Source organism: Homo sapiens, chromosome X (genome assembly GCF_000001405.40).
Source record: "Homo sapiens chromosome X, GRCh38.p14 Primary Assembly".
Taxonomy (NCBI): domain Eukaryota; kingdom Metazoa; phylum Chordata; class Mammalia; order Primates; family Hominidae; genus Homo; species Homo sapiens.
In genome coordinates this window covers 153,069,944-153,093,012 of record NC_000023.11, presented here as the reverse complement: position 1 = coordinate 153,093,012, position 23,069 = coordinate 153,069,944, and the positions used below count along the sequence as shown (strand labels likewise).

At 55.0% G+C, this 23,069-nt stretch overlaps 1 protein-coding gene, 1 long non-coding RNA gene and 1 pseudogene across 2 annotated transcripts; 1 reads left to right on the top strand and 2 right to left on the bottom strand.

Annotated features, from left to right (window-relative positions):
- Positions 1-701: 701 nt before the first annotated feature.
- LOC124905225 (uncharacterized) lies at positions 702-8,630 on the bottom strand. Its single transcript, XR_007068349.1, has 4 exons — positions 8,541-8,630; positions 3,642-3,792; positions 1,095-3,141; positions 702-1,000 (listed from the first exon to the last, which is right to left on the bottom strand). It is a non-coding gene; the product is annotated as an uncharacterized LOC124905225 (long non-coding RNA).
- Positions 15,396-17,400, top strand: PNMA6B (PNMA family member 6B (pseudogene); annotated as a pseudogene).
- PNMA6A (PNMA family member 6A) lies at positions 17,994-20,559 on the bottom strand. Its single transcript, NM_032882.6, has 2 exons — positions 20,407-20,559; positions 17,994-20,078 (listed from the first exon to the last, which is right to left on the bottom strand). The coding sequence occupies exon 2, from the start codon at positions 19,948-19,950 to the stop codon at positions 18,751-18,753; it is 1,200 nt and encodes a 399-aa protein (NP_116271.3). The 5' UTR covers positions 19,951-20,078; positions 20,407-20,559; the 3' UTR covers positions 17,994-18,750.

Here is a 23,069-nt window from a genome sequence, read left to right as displayed (position 1 = left end):
CTATGGTAATTTGTTCTAGTTGCCTGAGCTAAGATAGCTCCTGAGTGCAAATAGAAGGGTATGCTTTAGAGAGGAAACTATAAGGAGTTGGTGAGTCTAGATGTCCAAGTTAAAGGCCTATGATCCTGTAGGACCCATGTCATTAAAAAGGGATTCTAGGAAGGAAAAAAAAAAAAGAAATGGACAATAAACACTTGGAAAGAGATTTCTTTTCCAACTTTTTAGAAATAAAAAATCAATTTTCCCCCTTTCAAATTGGCAGAGATTAAAAACACAGTACATGCTGGTAGGGTATGATGAGATATACATTCCAATGCTCTGCTGTAAAAGTATGAACTGGAAAAAACTTTTTGGTGAGCAATTTGTAATATTGGATCAAGCACCTTGAAAATTCCTATTCTGGGATTTATTCTAGAAAGAGCTGTGCAGAGAGACATAAGTAGAAAGATGTTCATAACAGTGTGAGCAGTCACTGTGAAAGGGGGAAATTAAAAAGTCTGACAATAGAAAAAGATTAAATAAATTATATATCTACATGATGAAATAGTCCACAGTCATTGTAGATCATGATTTTGAAGAATTTTTAATGACATGTGAAAACAGTTATGATACAAAATTAAACAAAAATTAATATACAAAATTATATACAAGTACATAGCATGATCTTTTCTTTATAGTTATATATATAACTATGCATACATATATACTTATATATGTAAGTACTGGAAGGGAATACATCAAAATATTAGTTACTTTTCTCTAACAGGTGATTTTATTTGCTTCTTTCTTCTTTTCTAAAATGAACACAAGATACTTTATGATTAAAACAAACCCCATAAACAAGAGACATTATTTCCAAATTAGGAAGAGGAGTTCTGGTCTTCTCCAGCCTGAAGGTTAAGACTTCTTTGAAGAATTCAACTCCACTCAAATATTCCTCATTGCCTTGAACAGGAAAGCAGATGAACGCTTGTTCTGGGATGAGTTGGTTGAGCTCAGCCTTGAACAAAGAGCAGGGGGCAGGGATGTGGGAACAGAACCCCATGGCAGCCCTGGAGTATGCGTTCAAATACAAGAAAAGGAGTATGTCCTACCAGACAAACACACGGAGGCATCTCATCTTAATTCTTCAACTGAGATGGTGGGGGAGGAGCAGATGCCACTGGCCGGTCACAGAAGCAGATGGGTTAGGACGGTCTAGAGCATGCAGCACCTGTGTGGACACCTGTGTGAACTGGTGAGAGAAAGTACATTGGCTGAGGTGTAGCTATGAGCCTCCATAGTCAAGTTGAATGGGTTTGGTTCCTGGCTCAGCCACTTACTTGCTGTGTGAACTCAGACAAACTACTTACTCTCTCAGAGACTCAATTTCTTCACCTACTTACTCTCTCAGAGACTCAATTTCTTCACCTACTTACTCTCTCAGAGCCTCAATTTCTTCACCTGTAGAGTGAAGATAATGAAACTTGCTACGTAAGGCTCTTTGGAAGATTAACTGAATTATATTTGAAAAGCAGATATGATTCTGCATGCCTGGCACACTGCAAATGCTATGCAAGTGTTTGTTGTTGTTATTATTTGTTCCCATGATCGGACATACTAACATGGGACAACCCAAAATACAAAGAGTGAAAGCTAAGGGCTAAGGAGCTCAATGCTGAAAAGGAGGAGACCCTCAATCTTTCAGAAAGGCCCGAAGGAAGTAGAAACAACAGAGAAACCCAAGCGAAGATGAGGAAATTAAATGGATCCCCACCCTAAAATCGTGTTCATCTTCCTGACAGGCCTGATGGATTTTGAGAAAATGTTGCCAGTTAACTTTTTAAGACCAAATCAACTTTCTTTTACATCTAGTTGAATGACCCAGGATTGTTGTGAATGGAAAGGAAATAATGTATTTTAGATATCCTGCACTTCATCATTTGCCCACTCCTAGGAAGCTATCCAAAGGAAATAGCCTGACAAGTTTACAAATATGTAGTATAAGGTCATTCATTGCAGGGTTATTTAGAATAATGAAAATCTGGAAACAATCTAAATAGCTATCAATAGTGGACAGGTTAAATAGATTATGATATGTTGATGCAGCGGAATACTACACAGTCACTAAAGAGAATGGATATTTGCCTATACCTATATCTTATTAACTGACATGGAAAGATGTCCATGACACGTGATTGAGGACAAAATAACAGGCAGAGGACCACAGCACACACAATAGTGTTTCCACATCTCCACACATGATGGTGCGGAGCCAGCCTTGGAAGAATGCTCACTCAAACGTTGATAGTGATTGTCCCTGGGAGGTGGGATTTCAGGACTTCTGTGTTTTCTTTGTGTCTCTGTATTTTTTTTAATTTCTGAAATGAGCATATATTATCTTTGTAATAAAGCGAATCTTATTGGGTAAAAAAAATCCATTTGTTAAATGAATGAATAAATGTCTTAAAAAACACTAGATACACAAATAGTTTTCTTTGTCACCCACTTCTCACTCCTTTCTTTGGGGTTAAGCTGCCACCATTAAACATGCTGTACTTGAACCTGAATGTAAACGTCAATGTCCTCTGAAGGAGAATGCATGGAGAGCATCTCATCATGATAAATGGTGAATGTGGGTAAGTACCAAAGGCCAACAAAAAGCCCATGCAACATTTAGAATCCTTAAAATGTTCATTTTTTCTTGTAAGAACTGGAATTTCAAACCATAATTCAATCCAGGGCCCCCAAATGGACAATTTTCACTCTTTTATGAATGGGTCAGGTATGAACAATACAAAGCAAATAGAAAACCACTCTCACCAGCAGAACTTGAAAAAGCCCATGCGCTCCTTCACTGACTAGAAAGGTGTTGACTTACGAGGCCTTCAGTCACTCACCTGGACAGGAGCCTCACAGCACTTATCTTTCCAGCATTCATGGTTCTTCTGCTGACTCTAACTGGGGTATCATCTCTGGTTTGGAAATTGGAATCTCTGGTTTGGGGTTTTGGTGGGGGGGGGAATGGAGACTTAGCTCTTTGTGCTGGGACACAGAGGTGTCCTGGAGTTCCACTCCAGTCACTTGGTATTCAAGGGTAAAGGTCATTCTAGGAGAGCCGAGAATGTTCCAAGATTATCTCCACAGGGCTGAATGTGATTTCTGAGAAAGGGTGGAAGAAGGGATAGGGATGAGCATGGCAGCAGGGTCTGGGAAACTGTCAGCTGCAAGGAACAACTGGATTTACCCTCCTGGACAGAAGCAGAATCTCAGGTCATCTCGGATGGATCCTTATAGGAGCACCCCTGGCCTAGAAGTTCAGAGGACTGGGAGACCAAACCCTCCGCAGCAGCTTAAGTAAGTTTATCAACAACTCCATTTGGCACTGGGCTTTCAACCAGAAAGAGAAACATAAATAATCTGATTTTGGCTGCCAAGGAAATGGAAATCTGACCCTTGGCTCTACAGCCCCAGCTCGGAGGGTCTATGGGAAGGAATGCTGTCCTTAACCAGGAGGATCAGGGGCCTGTAGCTCACAAACATCCCATTCCTCCCTATAGCCTTTTGAGCAAGGCCCAGGTACAACCCTCTCCTGACAGAAGTCTAAGGGTACAGCTGTAAATATCACAGACTCCTAAAAGGCCCAAACCATTCCTACTTACTCTGAGCCTCCTCAGGGAGGGCTGGAGTTGGCAGCATTGTAGGAAGAGGTGAAGATGGACAGGAGGTGGTCCAAAAGTATTCAAGGGCCCCTCTGCACCAGTTCAATGCCAACTGAGCACGTGCCAGGCTGAGTGCTTCACTCTGTGGGAGCTATAAAAAGGAGTAGATACATCTCTGCTCCTGAGAAGAAAGTCATTTCATTAGGAAGAAAAGAGTTAAGGCAGATTCCAATGATCCCCTATGTGCTAGCATAAGGACATGGGGAATTCTTTCAGAGGCAAAAAAAAAAAAACACCTAGCTTGATTTGTCCTTGGGTGTATACTGAGTGCTCTAACCCTAGTCCTAGTTGTACACTGAGTGCTCCAACCACAGTCTTAGGTACACATGAGTATTCCACCCCAGCCCTAGGTGTACACATGAGTACTCCAAACTCAAACCTAGGTGTACAATGAGTACTCCAACCACAACCTTAGGTGTACACTGAATGCTCCAACCACAGTCCTAGGTGCACAATGAGTGCTCTAACCCAAGCCCTGGGTGTACACTGAGTGCTCCAAACCCAGCCCTGGGTGTACACTGAGTACTCCAGCCCCAGCCCTAGGTGTACACTGAGTGCACCAACCCCAGCCATGGTTGTACACTGAGTGCTCCAACCCCAGCCCTGGGTGTACACTGAGTGCTCCAACCACGGCCCTAGGTGCACAATTAGTGCTATAACCCCAGCCCTGGGTGTACACTCAATGCTCCAACCCCAGCCCTGGGTCTATACCAAATGCTCCAACCCCAGCCCTAGGTATACACTGAGTGCTCCAACCCCAGCCCTAGGTGCACAATGAGTGTTCCAATCGCAGCCCTAGGTGTACACTGAGTGCTCCAGCCACAGCCCTAGGTGTACAATGAGTGCTTCAGCTTCAGTCCTAGGTGTATGCTGAGTACTCCAACCCTAGCCCTAAGTGTATTCTGAGTACTCCAATTCCAGTCCTCTCCAACCCCAGCTCTCTACCTGCTTGAGACATGTTTGTCCGGTGAATGATAAAAGCAATTTGAGCAGGAAAGCCCTGAGTACAAAGTCAACTGGCTAATTTTATGGTACAGGCCGTATGGTGGAGAAAGAATGAAGGGAGAGAAGTGGGGTGGTGAGATGGTGATTCTGGGTGAATGAGAGTAGCTTGATAGAAGAGGTGCTCTCGTAAGGAGGGTGAGACTTGGATAGGATGCTTCGTATCTTTGGTCCATGGCACCAGCAGTCCTTGCAGAAGGGATTCGGTACCCTTCACATCCACTGCTCCGAGGGGAGCTATCCCAACTGCCCTGGGCTTCATCTAGCTTTCTATTGGATTACTGCCACTGTCTTGTGACTGCAACCTCCAGTCTCGCATTCTATCATTCCAATGTCTACATTGCCACCAGGGTGACCCTTCTGAAATGCAAACCTAGGCACAGCAGGTTTCTGTTGAACAACCTCTGTAGGCACACCTAGGATGAAGTCAAATTCCTTCAAGTGGCATTCTAGACCTTTCTCAGTCTACTTGTCTGACCTCATTGCCTCCCACTCCTGATCCTGTAGACCCTATGCTCTAGGAAAACTCCTTTTCACTGTTCCCTCAATACATTATGCTCTTTTATGTCTCCAATGCGTTTGCACTCATCTTTAAAACCCTTCAAGTTCAAAGGCAGTTACCATCCGGTCCTAAAAATGCCCCCACTGTCTTCTCAGGGATTTAAAACATCTAGAAACCCAAAATTATATGTATACATGAAAAAAAGAGACTATGATAACAAAAATAGATATCCAAAAGGACAAAAACTAGAAGGAAATACACAAATTTGAAATCACCCATGTAAGTAATAGGGTTATGAACAATTTATTTTTCTTCTGTAAGTTGTTAGTGTTACTGAAACATATTTTTTAATAATTAAAAAGGACAGGGCAGGCGCAGTGCCTCACGCCTGTAATTCCAGCACTTTGGGAGGCCGAGGCGGGTGGATCTCCTGAGGTCAGGAGTTCAAGACCAGCCTGGCCAACATGGTGAAACCCTGTCTCTACTAAAAATACATAGATTAGCCAGGTGTGATGATGGGTGCCTGTAATCCCAGCTACTTGGGAGGCTGAGGCAGGAGAGTCATTGCTTGAACCCAGGAGGCGGAGGTTGCAGTGAGCCGAGATTGCACCATTGCACTACAGCCTAGGCAAGTTAAACTCCGCCTCAAAAAAAAAAATGGAAAAAAAGAAAGAAAAAGGATAACAAGCACAACAAGCAATGACATACCAAATGATAGCAAGGACTTAAGTAAAGAGTCCACCTTCAGGACAAGTATTCAAGTGAAAGAACAAAGTAGATTGGATTGACCACAGACACCCTCACAGAAGAGAAGAGTCGTGAGTAAGCAGTGGGATTCAGAGGCAGGGGACAGGGGGTCTTAGCTAGCAGATGGCCTGAACCATGTCACAAAGGATGGGATGAGTGGTTGGCAGACAGACAATCAAGACTGCTGCCTATAAAAAGTGAGTCAAGGCCCAGAACAGGCTGGCCCTAGGAGTACAGGCAAATTCATGGAAGTCAGACATCTAAACAAGAGATGATCTGATCATACTTGGTATCTGGAATTGCCACCTGTGTGGTTGGTACCTGAGAACACACCTCAGGTGCTAGAGCCTTGGAGCTTCTAAAGGAGCTCACTTTTTCGGAGCTGCACTCTGGAGTCCCAGTCATTTCTACAGGAGCAGACAAGTAGTCCCGGGTTCAGCAAACCCCGTTCCCCACAAGCAAACAGAGGAGGTCTCAGTCCCTGTGTCCCCAAAGGCCAATAAGTAAAAGTGAACAAACCAGTCCCCAAGAAGGAAGACTAAAGCTAGTGCTGTGAGGTTAATATTGGCCAACATGTTTACACTACACAGCTGAATTTTTTCATTGTATTATAAAAGCAATTGAAAATACAATTTTATACATGGGGATATTAAAAACGAAGGAGGTGTATCCTCTCTAGTCCATAAAATGCAATTTAACTCCATTTGTTCTAATGTCTGTGAAAGAACTGATTCCTTTACACTACATCTCTCTCAATTTCTGTGCTTTGGGTGTGTAAGTCATGCTTAACAAATTAGCATCAATGATGTAAACCAATAATCTGTCTTATTCAGACGTCAGGGCCTCTTAAGTCCTTGCACCTGTTCATACCTCCAAACACAAACAATGAAGATGAAGGAAACCTGAAACTTACTCATTTATTTTCTGTTCTAAATCCACTTACCTGATTTTGAAAAATATATCCTTACAATGACATTATTAGGTTTGTAGATCTTATATACAATATGATTTTTTTAAGTTTGCTACTTTGAAAATTTACCTGAATTTCTTAATTTGAAAACTTACCTAAAATCTCTAGAACTAAATGCTTTCTTTATTGTGACTAATACAACAGTAAAAGATGAAACTCTCTCCTGCCTGTTTTCCTGATATTTGGTGAAAACAAGTAGCTGGCACCACAGAGTAACCAACCATTTCCTTGGGGTCTCTGTACAGGCCTGAGCAGGCTGCAGCCCATTACTGGACTACGGAAAACACTCCGGGAATCCAGGAGTGACTACCTGCGCTAACTGACCAGAAAAAAGTGGGGGCTTTTTGTCTTTTTTCTTTTACATATTGGCATGGTTCAGCGAATTCAATCTTTGAAACCTTTCCAATGTGCTAAATAATGGATTATTGGAGGGCTTTCTAAGGCCCATTAATGGTTTCTCACTTAAGTCACATGGGGACCATCATTCTGCTAGCCTTCCAAGTAAAAACAAAACATCAGGTCACTTTGGATCTTCCCTCCTCCACACACCCTATAGTCTTACCCTAAATTACCACTATGACAGAGCAACCATCATCTGCAAATTTTCCCCACTTCCCAATGCCTACACTATTGTCCAGTGATACCGGTAGCCAAGGGTGTGGATATCAACTTTGAGGACATTGTACTCAGTGAAAGAAGCCAGACACAAAAGGACAAATAGTGTAGGATTCCACTCACAGGAGGTCCCTAGAGTGGTCAAATCCATAGAGACAGAGAGTAGACTTGTGGGTGCCAGGGGATGGGGGAGAGGTTGGGGAGTTGGTGTTGAATGGGGACAGTGTTTCTATTTGGGGAGATGAGCAAGTTCTATGGCTGGATGGTGGTGATGGCTGCACAACACTGAATGTGCTGATGTTATTGGACTGTACACTTAAAAAGAGTTAAGATGGTACATTTTATGCTATGTGTATTTTACCAAAATACAAACTTTTTTTCAAAGGGTATAGACAGCACCTAGGTTCACTCTGTGCATGAAACCTGGACCTTTGCCCCAACACACCCTTGGCCTGTCTTCTCACTAGTCCCTGAAAAGGCTGTGCTCATTTCTGTCCCTAAGCCTTTGCTCTCCTCTAGCCTGGAATGCCGCTGCCTCTCACTTCCAAGTCTCCAAATGCAGCATGCATTTCTCCTTCTTTTGTCCCTGATATCACTTCGTGTTTAAACTTCTGATATGGGCAGTTAATTTTGCAGTTTCTTGTCATTTCATCATTTTATGTTCATGGCTTGTCCCACACCCCCTGCCTGAAAACACCCTAAGTTCCCCGATGGCCCCGGGCTGGGTATCACACTTCGCATAATAGAAAATGTTGAAGCACAGAGCAGCTCTCAAAGGTGTGATGAATGATCAAATGGCAGGTGGAAAGGAGAAAATTTTAGCCAGATGTTCTATTGTGCCCACCTTCCTCTGAGATGGGCAATTGATGGAAGTGAGGGACTTGAGGCTTAAGCTCCTGGGGAGAAACTATAATAGGTCAGCAGACACTCCGGGGCAGAGGGGGACAGTGCATCCCCAAGAGTTAAAGGAGTCCTAAAGGAGGAAAACCAAACCCCAGCTCACCCCTGAACAGACTGTCAGCCCATCAGCCTTCCCTCTTCTGAGGAATGGTGGAATCCTTTTGGGGAATGGTGGAACACTGGGAAGGCAGTGCTGGAAGAGGAGGAAGAAACCGTGAGTGATGAGTTATTGCAAAAGAAGAAGGTAAACTATCAAATCGGTAACTGTTTATACTGATCAGTCATTGAAATGATAACACTTTTGGATATGTCGAGTTAAATAAAACACATCATTAAAATTAATTTCACCAGTTACTTTTAAATAAGGCAAAATTCTTCTAAATGAGGCTACTAGAAGATTTTGAAAACACATAAATATCTTGCATAATGTTTCTATTGGACAGTGCAGCCCCTGAGGGGACACGGCCCAGTACAACACGCCGTGGCAGCCTGACATCCCCAAAGCAACCAACGCCTTCTTCTCCCCAAACCACACTCCTCCAGAGGGACTTGACTTCAATGAGTTGAAGACTGTGCCACAGGCAACCAGCTGTGTCAAGGACCAACGCAGAACAAGCTCACACTTATTCAGCCCAGCAGGACCCTGAGTCTGGGAAGCATGGCGTGCCACATCGGGTTGTCCCTCAGAAAAACCCTGCTAGGTGGGAAGGAGCCACCTGCACCTGTGAGGCTGCGGAGGACAGGCTAGGGGCAGGGCAGGTTGTACGTGCATGTGCATGCGTGCGTGTGCGTGCGTGCGTGCGTGTGTGTGTGTGTGTGTGTGTGTTTCAGTGTGTGTGTGGGTGGGGCACAGCCAGACAGAAGCTGAGGAAGTACTGCTCCCCCCACCCCAGGTAGGGGCAGCCAGCCAGGGAATGGCAGGGTCATATGGCAGGAGGCAGGTGCTAGCCTGGCAGCCCAAGGGCCTGTCGTGGGCTCTGGGCAGGGCAGAGAGCCGTCGGGAGCAGAATCAAAGAGGGCATTGGAGGAAGAAGCTTCTGAGCAGTCAGAGCAGGCCGCGGCCGGTGGGGAGCTGGCCCGAAGCCACAGACTGGGGAGCTTTGGCCCTGCCTGAGGTAGGACGGTAGGGAGGAGCCCCAGGCTCTCCCTGGAGGACACAAGGGGGCCCCCGTTGGCTGTGCAGAGCCTGGGCCCTCGGACATTGTGGTGCACAGCAAAGAAGCCCTTCTTGGTTCAAGAGCAGACAATGCTCCCACTCAACCTGTGGAGGCTGTAAGGGACACGTCCGAGGTCAGCCAGCTGGGAGGCAACCAGGTGGGGAGAAACACACACGGAGACCTCCTCTGCGTCCCGGCCTGCGTTGGAGGCACTCAGCAAGGCTGGCTGTCCTTGGGACTTGTTTCTCAAGAGCCAGTACTACAGCAGGTGCTCTACGGAGGCGTCTGGTCACCAAGCAACCCAGAGCCTTCTGTGAATCTTGATTGCAGCATCTCCAATCAAGTGCCACCTCACAGTACAGTGCTTCCGTGTTTATCCCTTCAGGTGTCCAACATCTGCTGGGCACGCTGGCTCTGTGCAGTGCCTTCTGCTGGCAATCAGGGGGACCAAGCCAAAAAGATGGAAGCCTCTGGGAGCCAAACCAAGCAGGGGCCACCTATACAATTCCTCTACCTTTACCAGGGAGTCTGCCTGCCCACAGGGCAGGGCTGGGTGCTGCAGGGCAGGGTGGGGAGGGACGGGAAGATGGAGAGTGGCAGGCTGGCGGGAGGGAGGAAGAGGGCAGAGCGAATGTCTACCTGGGTGTCACACGAGCCACTTGAATGTGACCACGGCCACAGGAACTCATCCCCATGCCCGTCACCCCTCTTTCCACAAAAGGCAAGAGGAAAGACAACTGCCAGCATGATCCCCATGTCAGACAAGGGTCCTGCCTTCCACCCGGTCCACACACAACAAGGAACCCGGGACCCTGCCTGAGCCCTCCCCGGGCCTTCTCCCTCTCTAGAGCCTGTATCTTCTGCTTTCCCTTAGACCCTCCTTGCCCAGCCCCGGGGTCGGGGGGGCCTGGACTTGGGCTGCAGCCCCCTCGCTGCTCCAGGCTTCCCATCCTGCTGATTAGTTCCCCCAGACGTCTGGCCGGCCGGTCTCAGCATCACCACCTCCTGGCTTCAAACCCATCGGGGCTCCCCACAGCCCTCAGGATAAGGTCCCGGTACCCTGGCAGGCTGGAGCAGGCTGACAGATTCAGGCACTTGCTGGAAAGAAGGCACCGAGAGCCTCCTCTGGGCCACACTCTGTTCTAGGTGCTGGGGATCTCAGGGTAGGAAACGCTGTACTACGGTTTGAACGTTGTGTCCCTGCCAAAATTCATGTTGAAAGTTAGTCCCTAACGCAGCAGTGTTAAGGGGTGAGACCTTTAGGAGGCAATGAGACCATGGGGGCAGAGCCCTCGGGGATGAGAGGAGTCCCTTGTAAAAGGCTGGAAAGCACTAGGTAAGCCCCCTTTTTGCTGTTCCCTCCCCACGACCATGTGAGGACACAGGCACAAGACACCATCTTGGAAGGAGAGACTGAGCCCCCACCAGATGCTGAACCTACTGGTGCCTTGATCTTGGGCTTCCCAGCCTCCGGAATTGGGAACAAGAAATTTCTGTTCTTTTGTAAGTTTCCCAGTCTCCAGTGCCTTGACTTTGAGCTTCCCAGCCCCCAGAATTGGGAGCAATACATTTCTGTTCTTTGCAAGTTACCCAGTCTCAGGTATTTTGCTATAGCAGTGCAAATGGGCTAGACACACAGGCAAGTCCACCCCACCTTCTGGGGCTCTAGCTTGCCACCTGGGGAGGGAGCCCCTGATACCCAAAAGCAAAGACTCAGACCAGCATTTCTCACGTGCCGACACATGTACTGATGCCGCCAATAAGAATATAAACCGAGGGCACGTGATTTGTGTGTCCCAGCAGAGGGGGCCTATGGGAGGAGGGGACAGTTCAGCTGAGACATGAAGGAGGAGGAGGTGCAGGAGGAGGGGGAGGAGGAGGAGGGGGAGGAGGAGGAATAGGAGGAGGAGGAGGAGGAGGGAGAGGAAGAGCAGGAGGAAGCTGCTGCCACAGAAGGTTCTTGGGCCTGGATGGCTCACACAGAGGAAGGAGGGATGGCAAAGGCCGAAGGTGGGAACAAGCCCTGTGCTTTGGGGCCAGCTGAACAGGCCAGATCGGCAGGAATGTGGTGAGAGGAGCTGGGGGCATGGCAACATGGGGTGGATTTCGGGGAAGGAAGGAGAGCATCAGAGGAAGCCAGATCCCCAGGAGCAGCGTGGGGGGTGCTCTTGACCAGGATGGGGACTTTGAGATTACTCTAAGGAGATGGGGTGCCACAGGGAGGAGCAGGGTCTGGTGGTGTTGCAAAAAGATCACCCTGGCTGCTGAGGGGGTGTTGGTGGAGCAGGGAGGAAGCGGAGTGGAGGCAGGGAGAACAGGAGGCAGGGCGGGCCAAGGACCACGGAGATGAGAAGGGTAGCAGTCTTGGAGCAGAGTCAACAAAATCCAATGATGGGTTAGATTTGGGAGTGAGGAACAAAGGAGAGGGGAGAGAATCTTGGCTGCTTTGTTTGAGTCACCAGGTAGGAGGCAGAGCCCTTTGCACAGAGGGGGAAGCCCGGGGACAGTGTAGGCATGGTGAAGGGGACGAAGCCCTCCGGTTTGAACATCTTAGCTCTGAAATGTCTGCGGGGCATCCACGTGGGCAGATGGATGGGTACGTGCGGAGCTTGGAAGAGAGGTCACGTCCAGAGACAGAGCATTCATCGGAGGTGCCGTATGTCCCAGGGTTGAGGCTGGGAGCCCGCCCCCACCACGCTTAGATCCAGCAAAGTAGGAGGAGGAGGAGGAAGGTCCAAGGGCAGAGAGGCAGGTAGAGAGGGAGGAGGTCAGCCCAAAAGTGGGGTGGGGGAGAGGAAGAAGCTGAGAAAGGAAATGGTTTTGAGAAGGAAGGAGAGTCAACTGTGTTGAGAGGTGGAGACAATGGGGACAGAGGACTGACAAAAGAAAGACAGTTGACGTGTCACAGCCCAGCCTTGCCCGGGGTTGGCGGGGGGCAATGGGTGTCCTGCAGCGTCCTGGACTTGGAGTCAGCAGGTGCAGAAGGAAGGAGAGTGGGAAGAGACAAGGCCGAAAACAGGAAATTAGTTGCGAGCCGGCCGGTGGGCTGGCTGGGCCAGTTGGAGACACCAGACCCACAGATGTTCCCAGGGCGGGGGCGGCCGAGGCGGGGGGGGGGGAGGGGGGGGGGGTCGGTGCCCTTTCTGAAGAAGGACTCCAGAAAAATCACGGCTGAAAACAAGAGAGAGGACAATATGTGGTATAAGCCGTGACAAGTCTAACACTAAAGGTTCGATAGACAGACACTCTCACAGCAGAGGTAAAGAGCAGCAGTTTGCCTGAATGAGAACAAGCAGTCTTGGCCCTCAAGGGGGAGAAGCGGTGGGGGGCAGGGGGGCGGGGAGGACTGGACACACGAGCCCAACCGGGGAGGCTGCTTTGTGACAGAAGACATGCGTTTCTTCGCTGACCCCACGTTTACTACCTGGGAGGTAGAAAAGCCTGGGGAGCAAGACCATGCCAACCTAAGTACCACACAGAGAGGGAGCCTCCCTATAAGAATGGTATTCAGAAATAGGCACTGCAGTGGGGACGCGTGCGCCCTAGTGAACTATGTGCATATTCAGGCAGGGGAAGGCAGACAAAGGTTTTTCAGGACAAGTGAAGAGGATTACATAATTGTTTTGACATAATGATCTTTGGCTACAAGGATGAATAACAAGGGTAGCATTGGTCAGGGGCTTGGACAGGAAGTTGCTGGGCAGGTGTCCTCACAGAAGTATTATTTGTGTCAGGTTGCAACAGCCTTTGTGCAAATTTGTGGGTTTTGCAGTCTTCCGTGATAGCTTTTGTTATCAGGCATTCGTGCATGGGAACCCTGCCTAGGTGGCCCTCCACAGCTCTATTTGTCAGGTTTTTGGATTTTTGTTTGCTTGAACAACAAGTGACTCCATCTTGATTCTGAAACCTTTCACAACCATACGGGCAAGCCAAAGTCTAATTGTGAGGCCCACTCCAATGCGACCTGCTTCTGGGCAACGTGATAGACTGGCCATGGCTTATATCACAAAAGGAGAAAGGCTTCGATCTTGACGCTAGGAACTTTCTCCTGGAAACGGGCCAATGACGCCTGTCATCTGCGAGATGAGGAGGAAAGGAGCAAAGGAGATTCACAGAAGAGGAACCAGGAACGGCCAGTGAGAGGATGCACGACCTCGCCACCGCTCGGGGAAACGCAAGGCACACAGCGATGAGGTGGTGTCTCTCCCCGTGGGATGGGCAAGCAGGCGAGGCTGGACAGGACCAAAGGCTGCTCGGGCTGTAGGAACCCAGGACCGCTCCCACGCTGCCAGTGCGAGGGAACATGGGTTCAGCCACGCACCGGAGGTCACAGATGAGCAATGCTTGGTTGTGGCGTTGATAGGCACAGCCCAAGTCCCAGCAGAGCCACTGCCTGCTGTGCACCCCAGAGTCTTTCTGGCTGACGGTGGTGGCTCAGACAGGCATGCGGGATGCCACTGGCAGCAGTGTCTGCAACAGCCAAACAGTGGGAAGGACCGGAATGTCCATCCCCAGGGTCATAGACAAATACTCTGGGGCTGTGATTCAGCAAGGAGCTTGGGCGAGCTGGACGCTTGGGGGAAACCTTGGCCAGCAAGTTGCCAAACAGGAGGTCAGGCAAGGAAAGAGAAGGGGATGAGGGAACGACACCCAGAGGTGTGACCCCGTGGGAACCTGTTTGCCACCTGCCTGGTGGAGATGCTGTTCACATGGCCCCAGCCTCCCATGATGGGTCAGGTGCAGGGTGGTCAGATCCACGGGCGCAGAATCTCTGTTTTGAGCGGAGGCTGCTCTGCCCTGGCGCAGTGTCTAGCCCCGGCAACAGAGGACTGGGGAAGGACCTATGGAAGGCTGACTCAGGCCCTGACAGACGGAGGTCTCCAGGGAGGTACGACACCCATGCTGCCCTCAGGGCCAAGAGAGCAATGTCCCAGAGCCCATCAGGCTGGTGAGGGCACAGGGGGCAGGGGACAAATTGAGTAGCCCACTCCGCGCGGACTACCTTTCCAGGCACACACTCAGGCAGAGACCCAGACTCGGGACTTGCGGCTGCAAAACGGACGAGGCCCGGGCATACTTGGGTGCTGGGTCACCCTCCTAGGTGCTGGCTCCTGGCACCAGGGCAGCAAAGTGCTTCGGCCGGAGGGCTGCGGGTCCCTGAAGCCGGATGGGCAGCGGGGAGATGGCAGACCCTCCGTAGGATGGTGTGCGTGAGCTGCGTGAGCGCCTGGGGCATCTCCTCCACGGAATGGCACCCGCACCAGGTGCCCCTGGCCTCGCCTGGCCTTGCCAGCCAGAGGACCAGTCCTGGACGGGGAGGGGGAGGACAAGAGCAGGTGCACAGGCCCCAGAACCCGGCTCCCTGACCCTGGCCAGAACGCAGAGCTGCCGGACGCACCTCAGACCACTCCCTGGCCCTCTGGTGGGCACGCCGGGGTGCACACCCGTCGCCCCGCTGGCGCCTGCCTCCGGGGCACGTGCGGGAGGGGCAGAGGCCTGGACCAGGAACCGCTGTGGTGAGAGCCAAAGGCGCTGGGACCTGCGGCCCACAGACCTTTGGACACCCCGGTGGGGGTGGGGGTGGGCTGGCGCCTGTGTTCCCGGGACCCGCGGCGCGAGGGGAGTGGGGGTGGGGCTAGGGGATAGGAGCAGGTGACGTCACCCGGGGTCCTGGGGCGCTCGGGAAGGCGGCGAGAGCCAGGCCACGTGACCCGCCCGCGGCAACGGCCCTGCGCTCTCCCGGGCCGGCGACGCGGAGGGGTCCGCGCTGCACCGCCGCCGCACCCCGGCCGCGTGACCGCACTGCAGAGAGCGGCTGCGAGCAGGCGCCTGCGCACCGGCCCAAACGCCGAGCGAGCGAGGGAGAGGCACAGTCAGAGGGAACGCCCGCGCGGGGAGCCAGGGGCGCCCGACCCCGCCGCCGCCGCAGCGGCGCGCAGCCCCCGACGCGCCCTGTGGGGACCCGGACCAGGAGGGACCCTGCCCCGGGAAAAGGTATCAGACCCACCCGGGGAGGGGGACGCTGGGTCCCGGGAGACTCCGCCGCCCCTCGCCTGTCCGCCCTAACAGAACTGAAGCAGCCTGCGGGGCAGCGGTCCGGGGTCCGGGGTCCGGGGTCCGGGGTCCGGGGGCGGCGCGGGGATGAGGCCAAGACCCGCAGGGACCACCCCCCCGGGGGGGCGGGGCGGGACAGGGGCGGGGCCTGGCTGCAGAGGCGCGGCCAGGGGAGGAGGGCGGCTGGGGGTGGGAGTGGACGTGGACGTGGACGTGGGCGTGGGGAGGGGTGGGCATTAACCTCGCTCTCGCCCGCTCGCATTCACAGGCTGTGGAGACCTGGGCTCCGACCCCAGTTCATCCCCCCACACCCCCGCCGCCCCGTGCCACCCTGGTCCGCGCTGGGAACCCTATCCTGCCCCTCGTGTCAGCCCGGCACTGGCCAGAATCGCGGGCATGGCGGTGACCATGCTGCAGGACTGGTGCCGGTGGATGGGGGTCAACGCTCGCAGGGGCCTGCTCATCCTGGGCATCCCGGAGGACTGTGATGATGCCGAATTCCAAGAGTCCCTCGAGGCTGCCCTGAGGCCTATGGGACACTTTACAGTGCTAGGCAAAGCGTTTCGAGAGGAGGATAATGCCACCGCGGCCCTGGTCGAGCTCGACCGGGAAGTCAACTATGCTTTGGTCCCCAGGGAAATCCCCGGCACTGGGGGCCCGTGGAACGTGGTCTTTGTGCCCCGTTGCTCAGGCGAGGAGTTTCTCGGTCTCGGTCGCGTGTTCCACTTCCCGGAGCAAGAGGGGCAGATGGTGGAGAGCGTGGCCGGCGCCCTGGGTGTGGGGCTGCGCAGGGTGTGCTGGCTGCGATCCATCGGTCAGGCGGTCCAGCCCTGGGTGGAGGCCGTGAGGTGCCAGAGCCTGGGTGTGTTTTCCGGGAGGGACCAGCCAGCCCCAGGGGAGGAGTCCTTTGAGGTCTGGCTAGACCACACCACCGAAATGCTGCATGTGTGGCAGGGGGTCTCGGAAAGGGAGAGGAGGAGGAGGCTGCTGGAAGGCTTGCGTGGGACCGCCCTGCAGCTCGTGCACGCGCTCCTGGCGGAGAACCCCGCCAGGACGGCGCAGGACTGTCTGGCGGCCCTGGCCCAGGTGTTTGGAGACAACGAGTCCCAGGCGACCATCCGGGTGAAGTGTCTGACCGCTCAGCAGCAGTCAGGCGAGCGTCTCTCAGCTTTCGTGTTGCGGCTGGAAGTGCTGCTGCAGAAGGCCATGGAGAAGGAGGCCCTGGCCAGAGCATCCGCCGACCGCGTGCGCCTGAGGCAGATGCTCACCAGGGCCCACCTTACTGAGCCTCTGGATGAAGCACTGAGGAAGCTGAGAATGGCCGGGAGGTCTCCAAGTTTCTTGGAGATGCTGGGGCTCGTTCGGGAGTCTGAGGCATGGGAGGCCAGTCTAGCCAGGAGCGTGAGAGCCCAGACACAGGAAGGGGCCGGTGCCCGGGCTGGTGCCCAGGCTGTTGCCAGAGCCAGCACTAAAGTAGAGGCGGTCCCAGGAGGTCCTGGTCGGGAGCCAGAGGGCCTCCTCCAGGCAGGAGGCCAGGAGGCTGAGGAGCTCCTCCAGGAGGGGCTCAAGCCCGTCCTGGAGGAATGTGATAACTAGGTTGGGGCTGGGGAGGCAGCCCAGCGCGAGTCCTCCCCGGGCAAATAGGCTCCGAGGGCCCCGGGGCCTCCTCTCCTCCTCTCAGGCAGCAGGGCCCTGGAGACAGGCGGAGGCCGGGCCAGGGCCGGTCCCTCACCCCACATCGGGATCGGGGCCAGCTGTGGCCTGGGTGGGGGCACCTGAAGATGTCTGCCCCCCACTCCTTGTCCTGGGTTGGGAGAGGCAGGGGGAAAGAGGCCCTCTCAAGGGTGTCAGCTGCCTGGGTCTCCCAAGAGCGGTCCCCCACCCGCGGAGTCCTCCACATGGCTCCCGTGTGGGCCTCTGACTTCATGCCCAGGCCCTCCTGGGGCTCTTCCCTGACCTTGGCTTCCAGCCTGAGGTTACACATGTGGCCACTCTGACCCTTCTGAAAGCCCTGAGCGCCGCCCCCCCCACCCCACCCCGCAGTGCTGTCAGGGATCCTGGATACCAGGACCTAGCCTACTGTCCCTCTGCCTGTCTGCAACGTCCAAACCACCTACTCCTGGGAGGTGATCAGCGTGCCCTGGGAACCCAATCAGCCCCTGCTCAAGACTACCACGCCATCCCGTGCAGCCCAGGGGACCACACAGACCCTCAGGGACCAAGCACCCCACACACCCCGATGTTAGCCCAGCCACTGTGGCACCTCACCTCACCTTGTCCCCAGCCAACACTGCACCCCGCACCCCGCACCCCATGCAGTTTCCCACAGCAGAGGCGAGGCCGGCTGGAACACTGAATGAAATTTATTGAAGAGAGATATGTACTGAAACCGTTGAAGAGAAGGGAATCACAACACAGAAGCTGCAAATGGCCACCACAGGACACAGGTCGGGACCCCCCTCCTCCTGGGGGAACACCCACCCCAGGTCTAGGAAACTCAGTAACAAGTAACAACAGGGGTGGAACGCCAAAGCACAAAGTTCACTGGGGAAACTCAGACAGCCCCACTCCATCCCGGGTCCTGTTCTTTCTCCCACAGTCATGGTCACCATCGCTGTCACGGGATGAGTGTCCACTGTGCCCTGGTGCCTTCTTTCCGCCATCTCCCGGGACTGCGCTGGGGTCCTCTGGGGAGGAGCTGCTCAGAGAAGAACACACACGGCTCCACAAAAACAAGCAGCCCCTGGCCTAGATCTACGCAGGGAAAGCAGAGGTGGTGCTCACGATACGGGAGAGCAGTGAGCACAACCTGGGCTCCCAGGAAGCTCACAGCACGTGCCCCTGGCACTGGAGGGGCGCCTCCCCCCACCCCATTTGGTATTAAATGTGGTCATCTGGGTCACCGGGAAGGTGGTGGTGGGCAGGGCCCCTTGGGGGGAAGTGGGGGGCCCCGATCCCGATGTGGGGTGAGGGACCGGCCCTGGCCCCGCCTCCGCCTGTCTCCAGGGCCCTGCTGCCTGAGAGGAGGAGAGGAGGCCCCGGGGCCCTCGGAGCCTATTTGCCCGGGGAGGACTCGCGCTGGGCTGCCTCCCCAGCCCCAACCTAGTTATCACATTCCTCCAGGACGGGCTTGAGCCCCTCCTGGAGGAGCTCCTCAGCCTCCTGGCCTCCTGCCTGGAGGAGGCCCTCTGGCTCCCGACCAGGACCTCCTGGGACCGCCTCTACTTTAGTGCTGGCTCTGGCAACAGCCTGGGCACCAGCCCGGGCACCGGCCCCTTCCTGTGTCTGGGCTCTCACGCTCCTGGCTAGACTGGCCTCCCATGCCTCAGACTCCCGAACGAGCCCCAGCATCTCCAAGAAACTTGGAGACCTCCCGGCCATTCTCAGCTTCCTCAGTGCTTCATCCAGAGGCTCAGTAAGGTGGGCCCTGGTGAGCATCTGCCTCAGGCGCACGCGGTCGGCGGATGCTCTGGCCAGGGCCTCCTTCTCCATGGCCTTCTGCAGCAGCACTTCCAGCCGCAACACGAAAGCTGAGAGACGCTCGCCTGACTGCTGCTGAGCGGTCAGACACTTCACCCGGATGGTCGCCTGGGACTCGTTGTCTCCAAACACCTGGGCCAGGGCCGCCAGACAGTCCTGCGCCGTCCTGGCGGGGTTCTCCGCCAGGAGCGCGTGCACGAGCTGCAGGGCGGTCCCACGCAAGCCTTCCAGCAGCCTCCTCCTCCTCTCCCTTTCCGAGACCCCCTGCCACACATGCAGCATTTCGGTGGTGTGGTCTAGCCAGACCTCAAAGGACTCCTCCCCTGGGGCTGGCTGGTCCCTCCCGGAAAACACGCCCAGGCTCTGGCACCTCACGGCCTCCACCCAGGGCTGGACCGCCTGACCGATGGATCGCAGCCAGCACACCCTGCGCAGCCCCACACCCAGGGCGCCGGCCACGCTCTCCACCATCTGCCCCTCTTGCTCCGGGAAGTGGAACACGCGACCGAGACCGAGAAACTCCTCGCCTGAGCAACGGGGCACAAAGACCACGTTCCACGGGCCCCCAGTGCCGGGGATTTCCCTGGGGACCAAAGCATAGTTGACTTCCCGGTCGAGCTCGACCAGGGCCGCGGTGGCATTATCCTCCTCTCGAAACGCTTTGCCTAGCACTGTAAAGTGTCCCATAGGCCTCAGGGCAGCCTCGAGGGACTCTTGGAATTCGGCATCATCACAGTCCTCCGGGATGCCCAGGATGAGCAGGCCCCTGCGAGCGTTGACCCCCATCCACCGGCACCAGTCCTGCAGCATGGTCACCGCCATGCCCGCGATTCTGGCCAGTGCCGGGCTGACACGAGGGGCAGGATAGGGTTCCCAGCGCGGACCAGGGTGGCACGGGGCGGCGGGGGTGTGGGGGGATGAACTGGGGTCGGAGCCCAGGTCTCCACAGCCTGTGAATGCGAGCGGGCGAGAGCGAGGTTAATGCCCACCCCTCCCCACGCCCACGTCCACGTCCACGTCCACTCCCACCCCCAGCCGCCCTCCTCCCCTGGCCGCGCCTCTGCAGCCAGGCCCCGCCCCTGTCCCGCCCCGCCCCCCCGGGGGGGTGGTCCCTGCGGGTCTTGGCCTCATCCCCGCGCCGCCCCCGGACCCCGGACCCCGGACCCCGGACCCCGGACCGCTGCCCCGCAGGCTGCTTCAGTTCTGTTAGGGCGGACAGGCGAGGGGCGGCGGAGTCTCCCGGGACCCAGCGTCCCCCTCCCCGGGTGGGTCTGATACCTTTTCCCGGGGCAGGGTCCCTCCTGGTCCGGGTCCCCACAGGGCGCGTCGGGGGCTGCGCGCCGCTGCGGCGGCGGCGGGGTCGGGCGCCCCTGGCTCCCCGCGCGGGCGTTCCCTCTGACTGTGCCTCTCCCTCGCTCGCTCGGCGTTTGGGCCGGTGCGCAGGCGCCTGCTCGCAGCCGCTCTCTGCAGTGCGGTCACGCGGCCGGGGTGCGGCGGCGGTGCAGCGCGGACCCCTCCGCGTCGCCGGCCCGGGAGAGCGCAGGGCCGTTGCCGCGGGCGGGTCACGTGGCCTGGCTCTCGCCGCCTTCCCGAGCGCCCCAGGACCCCGGGTGACGTCACCTGCTCCTATCCCCTAGCCCCACCCCCACTCCCCTCGCGCCGCGGGTCCCGGGAACACAGGCGCCAGCCCACCCCCACCCCCACCGGGGTGTCCAAAGGTCTGTGGGCCGCAGGTCCCAGCGCCTTTGGCTCTCACCACAGCGGTTCCTGGTCCAGGCCTCTGCCCCTCCCGCACGTGCCCCGGAGGCAGGCGCCAGCGGGGCGACGGGTGTGCACCCCGGCGTGCCCACCAGAGGGCCAGGGAGTGGTCTGAGGTGCGTCCGGCAGCTCTGCGTTCTGGCCAGGGTCAGGGAGCCGGGTTCTGGGGCCTGTGCACCTGCTCTTGTCCTCCCCCTCCCCGTCCAGGACTGGTCCTCTGGCTGGCAAGGCCAGGCGAGGCCAGGGGCACCTGGTGCGGGTGCCATTCCGTGGAGGAGATGCCCCAGGCGCTCACGCAGCTCACGCACACCATCCTACGGAGGGTCTGCCATCTCCCCGCTGCCCATCCGGCTTCAGGGACCCGCAGCCCTCCGGCCGAAGCACTTTGCTGCCCTGGTGCCAGGAGCCAGCACCTAGGAGGGTGACCCAGCACCCAAGTATGCCCGGGCCTCGTCCGTTTTGCAGCCGCAAGTCCCGAGTCTGGGTCTCTGCCTGAGTGTGTGCCTGGAAAGGTAGTCCGCGCGGAGTGGGCTACTCAATTTGTCCCCTGCCCCCTGTGCCCTCACCAGCCTGATGGGCTCTGGGACATTGCTCTCTTGGCCCTGAGGGCAGCATGGGTGTCGTACCTCCCTGGAGACCTCCGTCTGTCAGGGCCTGAGTCAGCCTTCCATAGGTCCTTCCCCAGTCCTCTGTTGCCGGGGCTAGACACTGCGCCAGGGCAGAGCAGCCTCCGCTCAAAACAGAGATTCTGCGCCCGTGGATCTGACCACCCTGCACCTGACCCATCATGGGAGGCTGGGGCCATGTGAACAGCATCTCCACCAGGCAGGTGGCAAACAGGTTCCCACGGGGTCACACCTCTGGGTGTCGTTCCCTCATCCCCTTCTCTTTCCTTGCCTGACCTCCTGTTTGGCAACTTGCTGGCCAAGGTTTCCCCCAAGCGTCCAGCTCGCCCAAGCTCCTTGCTGAATCACAGCCCCAGAGTATTTGTCTATGACCCTGGGGATGGACATTCCGGTCCTTCCCACTGTTTGGCTGTTGCAGACACTGCTGCCAGTGGCATCCCGCATGCCTGTCTGAGCCACCACCGTCAGCCAGAAAGACTCTGGGGTGCACAGCAGGCAGTGGCTCTGCTGGGACTTGGGCTGTGCCTATCAACGCCACAACCAAGCATTGCTCATCTGTGACCTCCGGTGCGTGGCTGAACCCATGTTCCCTCGCACTGGCAGCGTGGGAGCGGTCCTGGGTTCCTACAGCCCGAGCAGCCTTTGGTCCTGTCCAGCCTCGCCTGCTTGCCCATCCCACGGGGAGAGACACCACCTCATCGCTGTGTGCCTTGCGTTTCCCCGAGCGGTGGCGAGGTCGTGCATCCTCTCACTGGCCGTTCCTGGTTCCTCTTCTGTGAATCTCCTTTGCTCCTTTCCTCCTCATCTCGCAGATGACAGGCGTCATCGGCCCGTTTCCAGGAGAAAGTTCCTAGCGTCAAGATCGAAGCCTTTCTCCTTTTGTGATATAAGCCATGGCCAGTCTATCACGTTGCCCAGAAGCAGGTCGCATTGGAGTGGGCCTCACAATTAGACTTTGGCTTGCCCGTATGGTTGTGAAAGGTTTCAGAATCAAGATGGAGTCACTTGTTGTTCAAGCAAACAAAAATCCAAAAACCTGACAAATAGAGCTGTGGAGGGCCACCTAGGCAGGGTTCCCATGCACGAATGCCTGATAACAAAAGCTATCACGGAAGACTGCAAAACCCACAAATTTGCACAAAGGCTGTTGCAACCTGACACAAATAATACTTCTGTGAGGACACCTGCCCAGCAACTTCCTGTCCAAGCCCCTGACCAATGCTACCCTTGTTATTCATCCTTGTAGCCAAAGATCATTATGTCAAAACAATTATGTAATCCTCTTCACTTGTCCTGAAAAACCTTTGTCTGCCTTCCCCTGCCTGAATATGCACATAGTTCACTAGGGCGCACGCGTCCCCACTGCAGTGCCTATTTCTGAATACCATTCTTATAGGGAGGCTCCCTCTCTGTGTGGTACTTAGGTTGGCATGGTCTTGCTCCCCAGGCTTTTCTACCTCCCAGGTAGTAAACGTGGGGTCAGCGAAGAAACGCATGTCTTCTGTCACAAAGCAGCCTCCCCGGTTGGGCTCGTGTGTCCAGTCCTCCCCGCCCCCC

What these genes read in the sequence shown, in the direction of transcription:
- PNMA6A (NM_032882.6), bottom strand. Translation starts at nt 19,950, where the DNA reads ATGGCGGTGACCATGCTGCAGGACTGGTGCCGGTGGATGGGGGTCAAC.